The 15,887-nt window shown below is 48.2% G+C and overlaps 3 annotated features.

Moving 5' to 3' along the window:
- Positions 10,221 to 10,400: an enhancer, noted in NCBI's record as "active region_29543". NCBI's record gives its function as "activates an Ori minimal core promoter by ATAC-STARR-seq in GM12878 lymphoblastoid cells {active_cell/tissue: GM12878}" and the evidence as "EXISTENCE:reporter gene assay evidence [ECO:0000049][PMID:35858748]".
- Positions 10,641 to 10,690: an enhancer, noted in NCBI's record as "active region_29542". NCBI's record gives its function as "activates an Ori minimal core promoter by ATAC-STARR-seq in GM12878 lymphoblastoid cells {active_cell/tissue: GM12878}" and the evidence as "EXISTENCE:reporter gene assay evidence [ECO:0000049][PMID:35858748]".
- Positions 14,043 to 14,337: an enhancer, noted in NCBI's record as "tiled region #9554; HepG2 Activating DNase unmatched - State 8:EnhW". NCBI's record gives its function as "activates a minimal TATA promoter and a strong SV40 promoter by Sharpr-MPRA in HepG2 cells {active_cell/tissue: HepG2}" and the evidence as "EXISTENCE:reporter gene assay evidence [ECO:0000049][PMID:27701403]".

The raw sequence follows: 15,887 nt of genomic DNA, 5'->3' as shown, positions 1-15,887 counted from the left end.
AACGGACTAATGCATCATCAGAGCCTAAGCAGAAAAGAGTGTGGGCATGAACTAGTGAGTCGAGTCCCTGTGTTGTATCCACTCCTGGCCTGAGGCCTCTCAGTGCTTATCGGTGAGGCTAAGGATCTGGGGGTATCCTCCCCAACCCTATCAAGAAGAGAACACTGGAGAAGCAGAGGCTCTCCACTTGAATTTTACGGAGTAACCAAGGACACTGAGTTGTTGCTAGGGGTGTGTGAGGCAGCGTGAGAGTGCGTGGAGTAGGGAGGCTCCTATGTAAAGAGAATACAATACTACCCCCTTGTCCATGGTTTCGTTTTCTGTACTTTCACTTACCTGCAGTCAACCTTAGTCCGAAAAGATTACATGGAAAATTCTGGAAATAAACTTAAATTGTGCACCATTCTGAGTAATGTGATGCAATCTTGCATTGTCCTGTTCCATTCTGCCCAGAACGTGTATCATCCCTTTGTCTAGAGGACCCACACTATCTATGCTACCCATCCATTAGGCAGTAGTCATCTTGGTTATCGGATCAACTGTCACGGTATCAAAGTGTTTGTGTTTAAGTAACCCTTATTTTACTTAATAATGGCCCCAAAGTGCAAGAGTAGTGCTGCTGGCAATTCCGATATACCAAAGAGAAGCCATAAAGTGCTTCCTTTTAACTGAAAATTTGACCTTGGCATTCCTTGATTAGGCTCGGTACTATCTGTGGTTTCAGGCATCCACTGGGGGTCTTGGAACATATCCCCTGCGATAGAGGGGGACCAACACTAAATGAGACGGAGACTGTTTCTCACAGAGCGCTCTGCATTGCCAGAGCGGTCATAATCATGTGAAGCTTTCAGTTGCATAGTAGTTTTATTATAACTCCTCAATGTTTACTGATAGGCATCTCTCTCATTCTTCATAGAATCACAAAATCACAGACTGCCAGAGTCCAAGAGGCCTGAGAGATAATCTTAGATGAGGGAACGGAAACTCAGAGGTGTCAAGTGATTTCCTTCAGGTCACACAAATAAGGAATGTCAGGGAAAGTCTCCAAACTGGGCTGCAGAACTTCACAGGCAGTACCCTTTGTGCTACCCACATGGCTGGAGAGCAGAGGCGGGGAGCGCCAGGGTGGACAAGATAGGTCCGCTTAGGGGCTGGCTGACAAAATGGAGCCACGAAGGGTGAATGAACTTGCTAATTTGATCTGTTCTCAGTGAACTCCTGTGTTTCTGAAGTCTTAGAAGACACAAGACAAAGTCCCCAAGGCTGGTCTCATGGTTCTGAAGGTGCTCTCTTTCTCTTATTCCCAGACTCTCTCTGTTGCAAGAAGACAGATAAGGGGACCACATGTACTAGTTGTCCCTGCCTAAGTGTTTTAGCTCAGAGCTGACCTTAGCTTAGGACTCAGCATTCTTCACACACCCCAAAGAGAATCTGCTCATTCCTAAAGCATTCATGGGCCATGCAGGTTGTAATGAAGAATTTGTGGGAAGATGGAGGAAGGAGTTACATCCAAATATCCAGGCTGCTGAGTTTTACGTTGCCAGGGGGTAACTCTCACTTAAGATACAGCGTGACAATCGCCCCTGGAGGTGTGCAAGGCAGAGACCCTGTGTATATCTCACTGTAAAGGGAATAAAGAGTTTCATCAGGGCACTGCCCAAGCTCCCTTCGCCAATGCTGGAGGCCACCAAAACAGACACAATGACTGTTTCCTGGGATGGTCACTGTGGCAGAGTAGGTCACTGGTGCTGGGGGGTTAACATCCTAAGAACAACTCTTGATCACAGATGGAGGGGAGTTGATGCATAAACAGCCTAGTTCCGGGCTCTTCAGTCAACAACCCCAGGGTATGGGGCATGTTCCACACAGGGGGCCCTAGCAGGATTGAGCCCTGTTGCCTACCTGTTCCTTAGCACACCCTTGATTGGTTTCTCTCCCTTCCCTGTCTCACTTCCCCAGCCCCTCATCATGCCTCCCGGGATCACCTCCCCAACAAACTACCTGCTCTCAAATCTTTGTTTTAGGGTCTGCTTGTAGGGGGAACCCAGACTAAGGCATCCTCAAGGTAATTCCCTCCCCTGACAACTGCCAACAGAGCTTTCCTCTCTGCCTCCACCTACCTAGCCTGGCCCCAGTCTTGTACGCTGCAGTTTCTTTTCTCCTGGATCTTAACCCCCACCCAATATTATCTCTTGAGAGCAACTCTGCCCTGATCAGTTTCTATCTCCTACTCCACCCCCAACCACCCTCTGACCCACTTGGCCAACACACACACACACACACTCATTGCAATGTCAAAGTTTTTCCTGTAGCTTAGGGAAAGTTTACCCCCAGATATGGACTGAACCCAGCAGAAATAAAAAGGGAACAAAATGGCAGTGTTCATGTTATTTTATTTTTAATTCCACAGCATTTCTCCCAATTCCCAGCAGAAAGGAGATGTGGCGGATTAAAGATGGCCACCAATGCTTTCACACTCCTGGAAGTCTAGATCTCTTCCTTTAAATCTGGGTGGGTTCTGTGACTTCTTTGACAAACAGAATATGGCAGAAGTGATGCTGTGCCAATTTTGGTGCCCAGGCCTTAAGACCCTGGCAGCTTACGCTTCCTGTTTCTTGGAACACTCACTCTTAGAACTGCCACATAAGATGTCTGACTCACCTACTAGAGACATCACATGGAGAGGCCCTGAGATCATATGATATGGGAGAGTGGCCCAGCGAGCCCAGCCTTTTAACCTTTCTGGCCGAGGCACTAGACACAGCCCATCTTGGACCCTCTAGACCAACCAGGCTGCTAGCAAATACTGCTGAGTGTTCTCAGCAGATACCATATAAGGAACAAAAGAACCGCCCAGCCGAGCCCTGCCTGAATTCTGACACCCCGCAAAGTTGTGAGATGTAATAAAATGGTTTTCCTTTGAAGTTACTAAATTTAGGGATCATTTATCATGCAGCAATAGATAACTGGAACAGCAGGCATCAAAGAAATGTTCATTGAATAAAAGAGCAAAGGAAGGAGGGGAGAAAAGAAGGGAGAGGGAGGAAAGCACTGCAGAGAGGGAGGAAAGGAGGGCAGTCCCCACTTGCTCTCAGGCAGCTGCAATGGGGCTGATTAAATGGTAAGCACTTGCAATGCTCATCATTCCATTTTGAGGAGACAGGTTCCTTTTGCATAAGTTGCCACCTGTGTTATATGTCATTTAACTCTGTTACCTGATTACCCTGTTACCTTTGATTGGATCGGGTATCTGCACCCTGGGCATGAGGTGTCCTGGCTTGAGAACTCTGAGGAGCCCCAGCAAGGCTGGTGCATCTGCACGGTGTGGTGAGGAGCGCACTTGATGAGATCCACTCTGGGGGAAAGTGTCTAATTCTGGACACCTTGAGAGGGAGCAGTAGAAGCCAAAAGAAGCTGGTTCTCAAGAATGGAGGTGGCTCTGGAGTCTGGAGCAGCTGAGGACAAGACCAGATGACAAGTCTGGCTGTGGCTGCTGCCATTTCCAGAAGCAAGGCAGGAGCTCTTGCTCATGCTTGGCCCTCCAGGGGCTTCTATAGACCCCGGCACCTGTGCTAACCTCATTGTGTCTCTGTGCTTTATAACCTGAGAGAGCCTAATAGGATGAAAAATAAAGTGAGTGGTGTGTCTGAATGTATATGCTTCAAAAGTGCATTTGTGTATGTGTTTGTAGGTTGCATGTGTGCGCACATGAGTGAGCAGTTTGTTAGGATCTCTGGGCTTTAACCTAGGAAATAAAAATACTACTCACTCTCTGTTTCCTCTTAAAAAAGACATTTTCTTTGCAATTTTTTCCCCTGTGGTGGGGCATAGAGCCGCTGTTGGTGATTAAAGGGCAAGTGGTAAGACTGTGGCTTAAAATATTTTTAAACCTTGTAGTCCTTTGTTTCAAACAGAATGTTAGTGAGAAGACAGTAAGGTAAATCAGATAAAAGCCCCCACTGCTCTGATTTGGGTGGGGAAAGGGAGGCAGGAACACAGAGCTCAACCACTGGCACCCCTCCCCCAACCCTGAGGAGGCCCCAGGGATCCCCTAAGACTGTAGAGTTCAGAGGCAGAGGAGAGAGTTAGTAGCAGCCCCTCTCTGCTACTAACTCTATGACTCAACTTCTCTGAACCTTCTGAACCTTAGCTTTTTCAACTATTAAATCAGGATTATACCCATTAGGACACTCTCAGCAGAGTATCTAACAAAAAAAAATTTTTTTAAACAATGACAGTATATTAACGTCTTATATAACAAGAAGTCCAAAGCCAGGCATGGTGGCTTGTGCCTGTAATCCCAGCACTTTGTGGGGCTGAGGCAGGAGGATCGCTTGAGACCAGGAGTTTGAGATCAGCCTGGTCAACAGAGTGAGACCCCGTATCTAAAAAAAATTAAAAAATAAAAGTTAGCCGGGTGTGGTGGCACATGCCTATGGTCCCAGCTACTCAAGAGGCTGAGGTGAGAGGTTTGCTTGAGCCCAGGAGTTCAAGGCTGCAGTGAGCTATGATTGGGCCACTGCACTCCAGCCTGGGTGACAGAGTAAGACCCTGTCTCTTAAAAAAAAAAAAAAGAAAAAGAAAAAAAATCTAGAGGCAGGTGGTCTTACATTGAGTGGCAAAAGAGGTCATGAAAGACCCAAGCTCTTTCTACATTTTTGTTTTGTCATCCCCTCACAATCAAAAAATGGCTGCTGCTGCTCCTACATCTAATATCCTTACGATGGCATTCAAAGGCTGGAAGAAGGTGGATGGGTGACAGTGGCAGCAGTCTCCTTAGCATTGCTCTTTTTCAGGGAGAAAAATATTTCTGAGAAATTACCCACCAGGATCATCCTAGGTTTTATTGATCAGTTCAGGGACGTCCCTATACTAAATCATCAAAAAATTGGTTTTTGCATGATGATTGGCCTAGGGTAATTGAGTCATCTCCTGGGATTGAGCCCACCTTCCATGAACGCCTGTGGTCCCAACTACTCAGTAGGCTGAGGCAGGAGAATCGCTTGAACCCAGGAGATGGAGGCTGCAGTGAGCCGACATCATGCCACTGCACTCCAGCCTGGGCAACAGAGCGAGACTCTGTCTCAAACAACAACAACAACAAGAACAACAACAAACTGGGCACTTATCAGCAAGCAACAGGGGGTAGCTATCGGTAAGCCCAAAGAGATGTAGCTATCCACCCTGCATCTCTCACACTTGGAATCAGCTGTAATGGTCTAACTGGGTAATGACAGTGAAAATGCTTTGTCAACTAAAAGGGCCCACAGACACTCAAAACTAATGCTGTGCTCTAAGGTCTTGAGCACTGGGTTTATCTCACACAGGTGAGCATGTTACTGCTGCCTGAGAACCATCCATTTCACCATTGACCTTGACTCCACCCTTCAGGGCCAGGCTGTATGGAGAGAAGATTTAACTCAAGTTTAGAATATAATCCACAGCCCTGGTTTTCTGTAGGCAATCAGCATTTTGAGCCATCAGATGTATGTATCTAATCTTACCTCCTTGTCGACGTGTTTTGCATTGATTATCTGATTTCGTGCAGGATGTGTGTGGTTGGTGGCTGCCCCTAATCTGGCTTCACGTGGTGTCGTCCAGCCTGAGCTGTAAACACAGATACACTAGGGACCATGCCAGTGCAGTTCGCTCAAGTGCCATGCCCGTCCCACTGCCCATGCCCACTAGCCCTTAATAAATGCTTCCTTGCTGTGACATGGACAAGAAAATCTGTGGACACTTCTGGCAGCTGTTTTTTTTTTTTTAAATCTTCCTCCTCCCACCAAGATGTCAGTCTCCAATTTGCGAACCCAACTTGTTTTGGAAGCGTTTAAGAAAACAATACTTACAGTCCTTACAGCTTCTTACGACAGAGGACCAAGTATTAGATTCCTGCTATACCCATGAGAAAACACCGAGGCATACAGTGGTTATTGGTGTGGGGAGGTAGAGATTCACAGCTGATTAAGGTTTTATAGAGGATCTGGGGTGGGGTTTTAGGCTGCTGCAAATTGACCTAAGCCAATTTGGTCATGCAAAACTATTAGGCTCTTTTTGGGAAACTTCTGTAGCCTCCAGTAATTAGAGATGGGTGAGGGGGGTAAGTACCCTTCCTACACTGGGCCACCAGGTCACTTTCAAGGAAGTCTTGCTCATCAGTCTTCTGAGCAAGCTGTGCAAAGCAGTCATACAACTTGTTCTGTTAAGTTCAGTGAAGTTCAGCTCTCTGTCCTTTGAAATGCTCCAACAGCGCCTTGCAGGAAAGTTTGCCCGAGGCGAGCAGTGGGATTCTCTAACCTTCTAGTCTGACTGAGGGGTGCAAAGTCCACCAAATCAGCATTTGGATGTACGCAGGACCATGCAGGAATCAAGCCCAGGGTGCCATTCATACAAGTACAAACCATGGAGCATGCCAGATTTTCCTACTCTGTGCCTGCAAGAGCTGGAATGGGGGTGGGGGTGGGGCACATGGGAAAGTACCCAGTTTGGCCAGGAAGCAGAGGGAGAGGAGGAAATGGTGGGCACTTGCCTTTACTATGGTTTCCGTGGGGAGGAATAGGTGAGACAGGATGAGCAGGCTTAGAATTGGCTAATTTGAATAATTTCAGTGGAGAAGGGGTGGGAAGAGGGCTGGGAGGAGATGCAACAGGAAAGGAGGCCAGGCTGGCCTCTACAGGGAGGCAGGACTCCTGCTCCCTGCTCAGAGAGGCCAGGGCCACTCTAGGAGAGGAACACCTCTGTTGTGATTTGGAGACCCTCATTCATGGTCCTCCAGGAGGCAGGTGCGGGGCAGGGTGGGGGTGGGGTCTGCTGTGCTCCCCCTTCAGGAAGGAAGAACTTACTTTCTTCTGCTGAGAGCACTGCCTGCAGCCAGCCCCTCCCCAAGGCGGAAGAAACTGCCCTGCCAAGGGTTATGCCAGCCTTCTAGGGAAGCCCATGTCCAGGAGCTGATCAATGGGAGGCTATAGAGGCTGGCCTTCCACCCCAAATCTGAAGGCTCCACCCAGCTCCAGAGTGTTGTGCCGGACCCTTATTGACTCCTGTAATGATGGCACTGCATCCAAGAGGCCGAAGAAGAGACCCAGAGATAGAGAACAAGACATAGGGTTTACCGGGGGGACTTCCACACGGGGATAGTCCAGTGATGGCGGGCTGGACAGGACAATTGCTACAATTTGTAATAAGCATGCCGTTTATATGGCATTTTCACTTAGTACTTGCCACCTAGCACCCTCCATCTAGCAACCTCCATCCAACCCCAAACAAAGGGCCTTGATCCCCTGTATGGCCTGCATTCCAAGGGATGGGCTGGGGGTTCAGATGTCCTTCATAGATATGGAGTGAATCTCCAGGTTAGCCACTCCGGGATTACTTAGCTTGGGACTTGGAATACACACTCTTCTTAGACCACATGGTCATTCTCAGGGTCATTCTTCAGTTATTGCTGTCAGGCGCATCTGCCATATACAGAGCCCTCCGCCAAACACAGAGCCCTCCGTGAGGCCAGCTGAGGCGACTGTCGGGCTTGCATTATAGTCTAGTCCCCACTCCCTTCCCCAGGTGCTGATCCTAACAGCGCTCCCTAGCAAAGGTCCTGCCTGCTACTCTCAGTCTCAGCATCTCCTTCCCCAGGAAACTTGACCTGCAACAGCACAGGTGGGTCACTCTGTCCACTTGTGGTCGCCAGGCTGGACAGAGCAGGCTGGTACTAGAGCCGGGCACCCCCCGAGGGGAGATGAAGAGGCAAGAACCGGCTTTAATGACCAGCTCATTTGCAGACCTTTCCTTGACCTCCGCCCTGGCTGCCTTCTCCCTCTTCCTGCCCCTGTAGGCCCTCTGTGAGGGCACTCATTAGACCTGGGTTTCAGATTGTGTGCATTGTGGAATCTTACTGTCTGTCCCCTCTGAGCAGTCTCCTACATCCTGTGAGTGTGCCTGCTCAAAACCTGCCAAGGCAGGAGAACAGAAAAATGTGGACACAGAGGGGAGGGGAAGATAAGGAAAAGAGTGTTCCTGCCTCGAAAACATAAAGAGAGCCCCCCTCTGCCCGCCCCCCCCGCCCGCTTACATGCAAAAATGTGACAATTGACCCCCTCAGACGGCTCCCTCCTGCCCTGAAAGTGTTAATCCACCTCGCTGGGGGTAGGCCGGCCTCCCCACAGGCTATTTCCCTGGGCCTGCCTGGCTGGGGATCAGGCCCATTGTTAATAAGTAATGACAGCCAGCTCCTCCATGCATTCCCCTGGGGTTTTGTGTCAGAAACGTCTTCCCTCGCTGCCGCTCGAGCTGACAGGCTCCAGCTCCCGGCAGGCGGCTGTGAACACAAGCCAGCCTCCGCCAGGATGCCCCACGTCATCGGGCCCAGAGCCCCAGGGCAGCAGAGAGGGCAGTAATCCCATCCCTCCTCCCTTCTCAGGTGAGGATGATGTCAGCGGTCTGTAGGGACCGTGGGCCCTGTAGGGAACCTCATAGCCTCCTTCAGCAAGGGGTGGGGCTATGCTCTGATGAGTGGCAGATTCCTTAAAGCCTTAAGCCAGCAGGAGCCTGGCTGCATGGCCTCAGTCCCTGCCTCTGCTCTGTGGGAAATCAGCTCACTAGGGTTGGTATTGCTGATGACACCATTTTAAGGATGCCCCAGGAACTGGGTAGTGCAGGTGGCCTTGCTGACTAGCAGGAAGTTCCTTCTTCAGTCTGACCTAAGTCACACATCATGTTTCGCACTTACATTTGCCCAGAAAGGGTTCACAAACAAAAGCATTCTGGAACCTTCCGGAGAAAAAGACAATGTTTTTCCCTTGCCAATGCTCCATCCTGTTTTAACCTATATGCTTTACTGTTATTCAAGTATGGTGAGGCCAGCCATTATGGATGACCATTGCCATTAAAATGGAGACCATTGCCATTGAAAAGGCAGTTTGCTATACTCACAGATCCCAACAGGAGGGGGCATGCCACTCCATGGGTTGGGGAGGGGAGACCACGAGGAAGTGCTCAGTTTGATCAGGAAGCAGAGGTCGAGGAGGAAATGGTGGGCACGTACCTTTGTTGTGGTTTCTGCGGCAAGGAATGGGCCAGGCAGCATGAGCAAGTTTATGATTGGCTAGTTTGAATAATTTCAGTGGGCTCTGGGGTGTAGGGGCTGTCCCAGGCTGTCTAGTGGCTGGCCCTGGGGTAATTAGGGCTAGGAGTACGCTGTTAGGATAGCGGCCACTATTAGGATAGTGGCTTGGAGTGTGAGAGGCAGGAGCTGCTTCCTCTATTTAGGAATTGGCTAACTCTAAGAGGGGACAGTGCCTCCAAGGTCAGCAAGGCCCCGGTTGTCAGAGCATCAGAAAAGAAGAGACATGGTCGAGACCAGCCTGGCCAATATGGTGAAACCCTGTCTCTACTAAAAATACAAAAGTTATCCCGGCGCGGTGGCGCGTGCCTGTAGTCCCAGCTACTCGAGAGGCTGAGGCATAAGAATCGCTTGAACCTGGGAGGTGGAGGTTGTAGTGAGCCGAGATCGCACCACTGCACTCCAGCCTGGGTGACAGAGTGAGACTCCGTCTCAAAAAAAAAGAAGAAGAAGAAGAAGAGACATGGTTAATACATGTCCTGTTTCATTGTGCGTGGTTTATACTGATTGGAATAAGGTTCAGCTTATTATTGTGATTTGAAACCCACTGATAGCATGTTTTCAGCAGTACTATTAATTATAACAGAAAAGGGAAACAACCCAAATGTCCATCAGTATAAGAATGGTTAAATAATGGGCTAGCCATACTGTGGAATACTCTACAGCAAATACAAAAAAGACATACCTATGTGCACCGATACTGACTGCTCATGAAGATGTGTTAAATTTTAAAAGTTGTAGAGCCATTCACACCGTATAATCCCATTTATGTAAAAACAAAATGAGTAATAACAAACCTTTTGGTGGCATACGTACCTACATGTATATAAATACAAAGAAAAGACTATCTGGAAGAACGTACACCCACGATGAACAGTTTTGACCTCTGGGGAGGGTGTGACAGGTTGATTTCTCATGGAAGCAGGTGCTGAGGTGGAGTAAGGAGGGCCAAGGGTTTGTTGGAAGTAGCACCGCGGAAGGAGGAGGGGAGGAAGAAGGACGGGGCAGGGAGAGCCATCAGGTGGCAGTGCAGATCTGAAAAGTCTCTGCTAGCCCAGCGGGAGTTCCGAGCAAAGGTGCTCATCAGAGGAACCCTGTCTAATTCAGAAAGGGCTGGCCCTGAGTACCACCCGCCTTGCTCAGCCGCTTGCCGGGGAACACGTGGGAAAGGTTGAGGTGGGCCCTGAGGCTGTCTGCTCACAACACTCGGAGAAGTTGCACAGCAGATGTGCTCCTGAAGGGGATCGGAGCAGCTCAACCCCACGTCTGCCACAGAAGGCTTGGGGTGTGGGGAGGAGGAGGGGCCGGGGAAATGTGTACTTTCCTGGCATTTGACTTTGCGCCTGGAGACTACTGATGTATGCAAGTTGTAAACAGAGGGAAAGACAGAGAATCTAATTGGCTCCTGCCTGTGACTCCTCCTCCTTCTCGCAAGTCCTCACATGCTCTCAGCAGCTGCAGGGGCCCAGGAATCCACCCAGCTGCAGCATTTACTGTTTCTTGTCGTCTGGCTTTAGCTCAGAAGACCATATGCTCACATCCACTCTCTCCTCCTCTGACTACACCATACTAGCATAGTTAACATTCCTTTCTAGGAACAGTTCAGTGGCACTGTGCAGGCTCAGGATGCCAGGTGTGATACGAATGCTGGGGAGAGAGAAGCAATAGCTTAGGTCCTCGCAGGGGAGATGGAGAGTCACACATTTGCAGCTTCACACTTTTCAGGGCAGTATGTGCTCTGTGCTGAAGGAGAAGTTCAAGGAAGGGTCATTAGCAGGCATGACTCTGACCACCCCGAGCATGGTTCAGGTCAAGGCACGCTTCTTCAATGGGTGGCATTTGGACTTGGCCTCAAAGGATAGAGAAGGAAGGAAAGAACATTCCAGTAAAAGGGAACAACATGAATATAGACAGAGAAGGGGCCGGGTGCAGTGGCTCACGCCTGTAATCCCAGCACTTTGAGAGGCCGAGGCAGGCAGATCACCTGAGGTCAGGAGATCAAGACTAGCCTAGCCAACATGGTGAAACTCCGTCTCTACTAAAAATACAAAAATTAGCTGGGCGTGGTTGCAGGTGCCTGTAATCCCAGCTACTCGGGAGGCTGAGGCAGGGGAATTGCTTGAACCCAGGGGGCGGAGGTTGCAGTGAGCCGAGATCATGCCATTGCACTCCAGCCTGGGCGACAAGAGCGAAACTCCGTCTCAGAAAAAAAGAAAAAAAAGACAGAGAAGGGGAATATGCAACAGATGTATAGACTCCAATCTAATTCAAAAGTCCAGAGATCATACTGCCTTCAGACAAGTCCCAACCCAATATCTCTCAGGGTTGGGCTTCTCTTCATCTTGCCATATAGCAATCCTGTGGTGTTGGATTCGTCCCCAAATTTCAAACACCGCCTCCCCCGCCGCTCCAGACTGCTTACAAAACGACTGCCATGGTTCCGCACCTCACATCTCCACACCACACAGGCCAAAGGAAAAGAGAACAACTCCCTCCAACAGCTACCGAGGAAGATACCTTTAGCATCACTTTTCCATAAGGCCCCAGCAACAGTCTCCTGACATCTCATTGGTGCTAGTCAGGCTATGTGCCTATCCCTGGACCAATCACTGAGGCTAAGTGGATTTCTAGGTCCTGGAAGGGAGACATTGGTTGGAGATGGCTTCGGCTTAAAGATAATGCCAATTCCTATGGGGCAAACAAGCTTCAGAACTTACCAGTTACTCCTAAATCTAGAACAGGAGTTGAGATATGAATGTAGCAAAAACCTTCAAAAGCATCATTAGAGGAAAAGACAGGACAACGTAGAGATCTATAATTTTTTTCCCTGCTACACTTTAATTGCCCTTCTCTGGCATGCACTGCATAAATTAAGAGCTAGTTAATGCTGTAATGCGTAAAACAATTTCATGCATCTTAAATATTGTACTTGTACTTTAATTCCACATTAAGTGGTCCCCTGAAATTTTTAAATTTACAAAGTCACTGCTGTGCTACATGAAAAAGGTGCTAATTAAGTGTTAATCAGTAGCCAGATAACCTTCCCTAAACCCTGCCCAAGGTCTCCAAAATGACCCATTGCCAGAGAACTCGATGTGATGGCCACAGAACAGAGAGTGCAGAGCAGACACAAAATGGTTTTTCAGCCACATCCCAGCCAATTAAGGCAGATTTGCTTATTATGCAGTTCTAATTAAATGGCATCCACTTTAGTGGACACAAGACTAATAATAATAATAGTATTTAATACCAGCAGAGCTTTCCAAATTCAAAACACTGGGAAAACACTAGCTGATTAACAAGTGGGCATCCCTTTCTGGGCAAGAAGAGGGCTTTTTGGGTGGGCTTGCTAAGAAACAGGAGGCATGCACAAGGACAGATAAAATGAAAAGATATGGTTCCCTCTCTTTAAGGGGCTCACCCTCTTATAGACCAGCAGTGCTACTCGCTACTCAAAGTGTGGCCCGTGAACCAGCTCTGGATCACAATGATATAAACATGGAAAATGACAGTAAACCATTGAGAAGCCTTGAAAGCAACTTGACCTTGCTGTGATGTCCAAGTGTGTGATCAGTGAACTCTTGTTGAATAGGAAATAAATCAATTCCATCTTCCATGGTAAGTCACACATGGCATGAACTCTATAATAGTCATATGCAGTAGGGTCACATATCAGTCTATGATGTACTAGAAATTATATATATATATATATATATATATTCTGGTCCTTTATCACAGATGGTTTGAGAAACACTCCTGTAGACATATCAATCGTATAGAATAAGGGGATATGGGTTTAGTTATATCCCCACAAATCAAGGCAAGGAGTTGGAGAGGAGACTCAGCGATGTGCCGTTTCACACCTCTATATTTTTCCTCATGCTATTTCTCTGCTTGGAATGTTCTGTGTGTCCTCAGCAGCCCCACTTCCCGCCCAACCTCTTTACACACGTGAAGTCATCTCAGTTCCTGGAAATGTGGCTTCCTTCAGGAAAGATTCATGACTCCTCCCCACACCTTGCTGCAGAACTGGCTCTTCTTCCTTGGTGCTATTTCAGTCGCGTGTGCACTCTGCCATTGTTGCACTTTTCACACAGGGCTGGGTACATTTATGTCACTTTGCCCAATGGGACTGACAGATCCTTGAAGGTGGGGCTGATGATTTATGGTTTTAAATGCCCAGTACAGAGCACAGAGTAGATGCTCATTAAATGTTTGCTGAATTCAGTTTTTTAAAAATTGTGTAAAATATATATAGCAGAGTTGGGTGTGGTGGCTCACGCCTATAATCCTAGAACTTTGGGAGCCCGAGACCAGAGGATTACTTGAGGTCAGGAGTTCAAGACCAGCCTGGGCAACATGGTGAAACCCCGTCTCTACTAAAAATACAAAAACTAGCTGGGTGTGGTCATGCACACCTGTAATCCCAGCTACTTGGGAGGCTGAGGCAGGAGGATTGCTTGAGCCTGGGAAGCAGAGGTTGCAGTGAGCTGTGATTGCACCACTGTACTCTAGCCTGGGCAACAGAGTGAGACTGTCTCAGAAAAAAAAAAAAAGAAACATATATATATATATAGTAAAATTTACTATTTTAACCATTTCTAAGTGTACAGTTCAGTGTCATTAAATACACTCACGTTGTTTTGTAATCATCAGCACCATCCATCTCCAGAACTTTTCTCATCTTGCAAAACTGAAACTCTGTACCCATTAAACAATAACTTCTGCTTCTCCTCTTTTCTGCCCGCCCCCTAGCCCCTGGCAGCTACCATTCTACTTTCTGTCTCTATGAATTTCATGACTCTAGGTACATGATATGAGTGGAATCATACAGGATTTGTCCTTTTGTGACCAGCTAATTTCACTTAACATAATGTCTTCAATCACATGTGTCAGAATTTCCTTCCTTTTTAAATGACTTCAATTTAAAATATTCAAGATTATTATATAGTTGTGCAATGAGTAGGAAGGGCATTCCCCCCGCCACCCCAGCTCAGCCTGTATTTGAAGCAGAGAACAGAGGACAAAAGGGTGTTGATGATCCAGGAGGTGGCAGCAGAAAACAAAGGGCCACTGTGTTCTGCAGGGCTCCTCCTCTCTTCCTGCCCTGTTTGCTCTTGTTCCTGCTCAGCTGTTTAGTTTAGCCTCTTGAAAGGAGGAGGTTCCGATCTGGACAGCCTGCCCAGTAAGGAACAGGCCTGAGAGGTGTTCTGGCAGGAGGGCAGCAGAGCACAAGTGGTGACAGTGGAAATGGACTCAAAGTCCCAGTGGTGGCTCCACCAACACTCACTGGCTGACCAACCACTTAACCTCTCTAAGCCTGGTCTATAAGATTGGGATGACAATATCGTGTACCTTACAGGGCTGTTGAGGGGATCCGATGAGGTAATGCATATAAACCACTTGGTCGGCTTGGAAGCACTGCATATGCCAGTTATTGTGTTTTTATTACTACTGTGAATGAAGAAGAAAGTACAGCTCATTATTTACACTTCCTGAGAAGAAAGTGAAACAGCTCCAGCATCATTCAGCCTTCATCTTTGGGGCATTTCTGGTTCCTTTCTCTTTTTCTTCTTCCACCCTCCAAACTTTCACCTTAGGAAGTGTTTCTAGACCAAGTGCAGTGGCGCACACTTGTAATCCCAGCACTTTGGGAGGCTGAGGCAAGCAGATCTCTTGAGCCCAGGAGTTTGAGACCAGACCGAGCAACATGGCGAAACCCTGTCTCTACTAAAAAAATCCAAAGCGAAACCCTGTCTCTACTAAAAAAATCCAAAAAAAATTAGCCGGGTATGGTAGTGTGCATCCCAGCTACTCGAGAGTCTGAGGTTAGAGGATCACTTGAGCCCAGGAGGTGGAGGTTGTAGTGAGCTGAGATTCGTGCCACTGCACTCCAGCCTGGGCGATACAGCCAGACCCTGTCTCAGAAAAAAAAGAAAAAAGGAAGTGTTTCGGTTCCATTCTGTCGAAATGTCATTAACTGCCACTACACTGCCAATGAGAGAAACAAAGAGGCACGACGGAATTCATTCAGGGTGTCAGCAAACACGATTGGAAGCATGAGCCGTACGCTAGGTTGTGTACTGGGAACAAAAAGAACAAGGAGCCAAATAGCTTGACCTAGAGGAGTCCACACCGTAGAGTGCGACCCAATATGGAAGTAGATGTTCACGACATCTTCCATCTTCCCCTCCAGGCCCACCCTCCACCCCCTCCTCCCTGCCCTGTGCCCCAGGAAGCTGACCCTTATGCATTCATTGCACTCATCTCAAAGGGCCCCCCACCCTTTGGCTCCCGTTGGCCAGTTCCAGCCAATAGGGAAGCCCCACCAAGAGATCAGAGGGCAGAGGAGAATGAGGGGACGCATTTAGTCTATCTTCCTCCCTGTGAAGTCTACTTGGGCTGACTGATCCTTCCACTGAAGGCCCCCATTTCTTTTAAGGTGGCCTCCTGTACTCAACTCTGTCCCCTTCTAAGTTTGGGGTAGCCACGACCTCCCCTATTCCCTTTGGCTCTAGGGTGATAACAGCTCCTGCTTCTTGTACTATCCCTGTGGTTCTCCTACCCCCACATCTTTGTTGATGGCCCCTTTGTAAATGAATACTTCTCAAACCATCTTAACTGCTTCCTGTTGGGACCCAACCTGATCTAAGTGCCACGTGGTAAGTAAGGGTCATTCCAAGCAGGGAGGAAGCCTTGCTCCCACCTCCCCGGCAGTCCCTCCAATCCAGCCCTTCTTGTCCTCTTCTCATTTCAGGCTTTAGTTGAA

Source organism: Homo sapiens, chromosome X (assembly GCF_000001405.40).
Source record: "Homo sapiens chromosome X, GRCh38.p14 Primary Assembly".
Lineage (NCBI taxonomy): Eukaryota > Metazoa > Chordata > Mammalia > Primates > Hominidae > Homo > Homo sapiens.
Note: the sequence above shows the minus strand (reverse complement) of the source record. Positions and strands in the feature narration are given on the sequence as shown.